Source organism: Homo sapiens, chromosome 2 (genome assembly GCF_000001405.40).
Source record: "Homo sapiens chromosome 2, GRCh38.p14 Primary Assembly".
NCBI lineage: Eukaryota > Metazoa > Chordata > Mammalia > Primates > Hominidae > Homo > Homo sapiens.
Window position 1 is genome coordinate 53,606,145 of NC_000002.12, and position 1,596 is coordinate 53,607,740.

The window sequence follows — 1,596 nt, forward strand, 5'->3', positions numbered from 1 at the left end:
ATCTGCTTAGGGTTTCTCCCACAGAACACTGCAGAAGGGCTGCATCCTACAATGGCTCACACCATTTTCCCTAATCCTCTGTTCCCATAATTTCCCTTAGAAGTAAAAGCATCTCGGCCGGGCGCGGTGACTCACGCCTGTAATCCCAGCACTTTGGGAGGCCAAGGCGGGCGGATCACGAGGTCAGGAGATGGAGACTATCCTGGCTAACGTGGTGAAACCCCGTCTCTACTAAAAATACAAAAAAAAAAAAAATAGCCGGGCGTGGTGGTGGCACCTGTAGTCCCAGCTACTCGGGAGGCTGAGGCAGGAGAATGGCGTGAACCCGGGAGGTGGAGCTTGCAGTGAGCCGAGATCGCGCTGCTGCACTCCAGCCTGGGCGACAGAGCGAGACTCCGTCTCAAAAAATAAATAAATAAATAAAAAATAAAGAAGTAAAAGTATCTCCCACCCTCTTCCCTGGAGGTACCTTCCTGCATTCAAATAAGTGCTTCAAGGCACAAGTCTGTTTCATTACGTTCCTCCTCCACTGGCAGGAAAGAGCGGTTGAGGAGAGTTCTCCTCCATCACATCCTGCCTAAATTCTGCAGCAGCAGCCCAGGTGTCCTTTAGTAAGGAAGCAAAATGGACTCCTAAAATGGGCGAAAAAGTATTCATTCTTAGACCAAGAAGACACTTTGCGTCATAAATATTCAATGTTAATTAGCTAGTAATTCGTGTTTCCTTGGATTTGGAACCTACATACATTTTTTAATGGACACTGTCTTCTCTCAGGAGTAGCCAGCTCTAGATTTTTTGGCACAATTATATGATATGTGAACTAATGATGATTTCTTGTACTAGTATAAAATTTTAATGGGGGGAGGGGAGAAACAAAATAGAGACCAGTCTTCAAATTTAACATAAATGGAACAATAAACAGTCATGAAGGAAATTTTTATGATACAGTAACTGTTATTAGCTTGATGTGCTGACTGAGAAAAGATACAGTATGCACTTTTTAAAGTGACTTTTAAGGAAGAATAATTTGTTTGCATAAAATGTGATTACTTACCCTCATAAATGTTTATTTGAATTTATTGCACTATAACCAAAGCCAACTGCATCAGCCACAGCAGGGAAACCAAATTTTGAATTGCAAAGCAAACCAAAGGTGTGACTGGGAACACATCAGCATCCAATGCTGACTCGGAGAAATTGAGGCAGTTAAAATTCTGCTGATTTTTCAGGATGTGAGACTCTAATGAAGCTGAATTGTTTAGAAACAGAAAAAAACTGTAACTCAGACTGGGACCCACCTCTTCTGAAAAAACAACACCTAGATGACACCAGTAAGCACCTTTCTCAGCTTCACCTGACTTTCCACCTGCTGTCCACACTAGAGTCTATCAACTGGCTATTTGAGGCTGAATCCAGCTGCAGATGCCATTTTTATAAGTCCACATTTAAATGCATTTAGAAGAGTTTAGAATAAAGCCCAGGTGGGCTCTGCTTTCCCAACTGACCAGTGTCCATCATGCCCTCTCTTCTTAGGCTCCTACCTTCATTCACGTACCTGCCCCACCCAGTGGGCCCTGGAACCCTTGATCCACACAC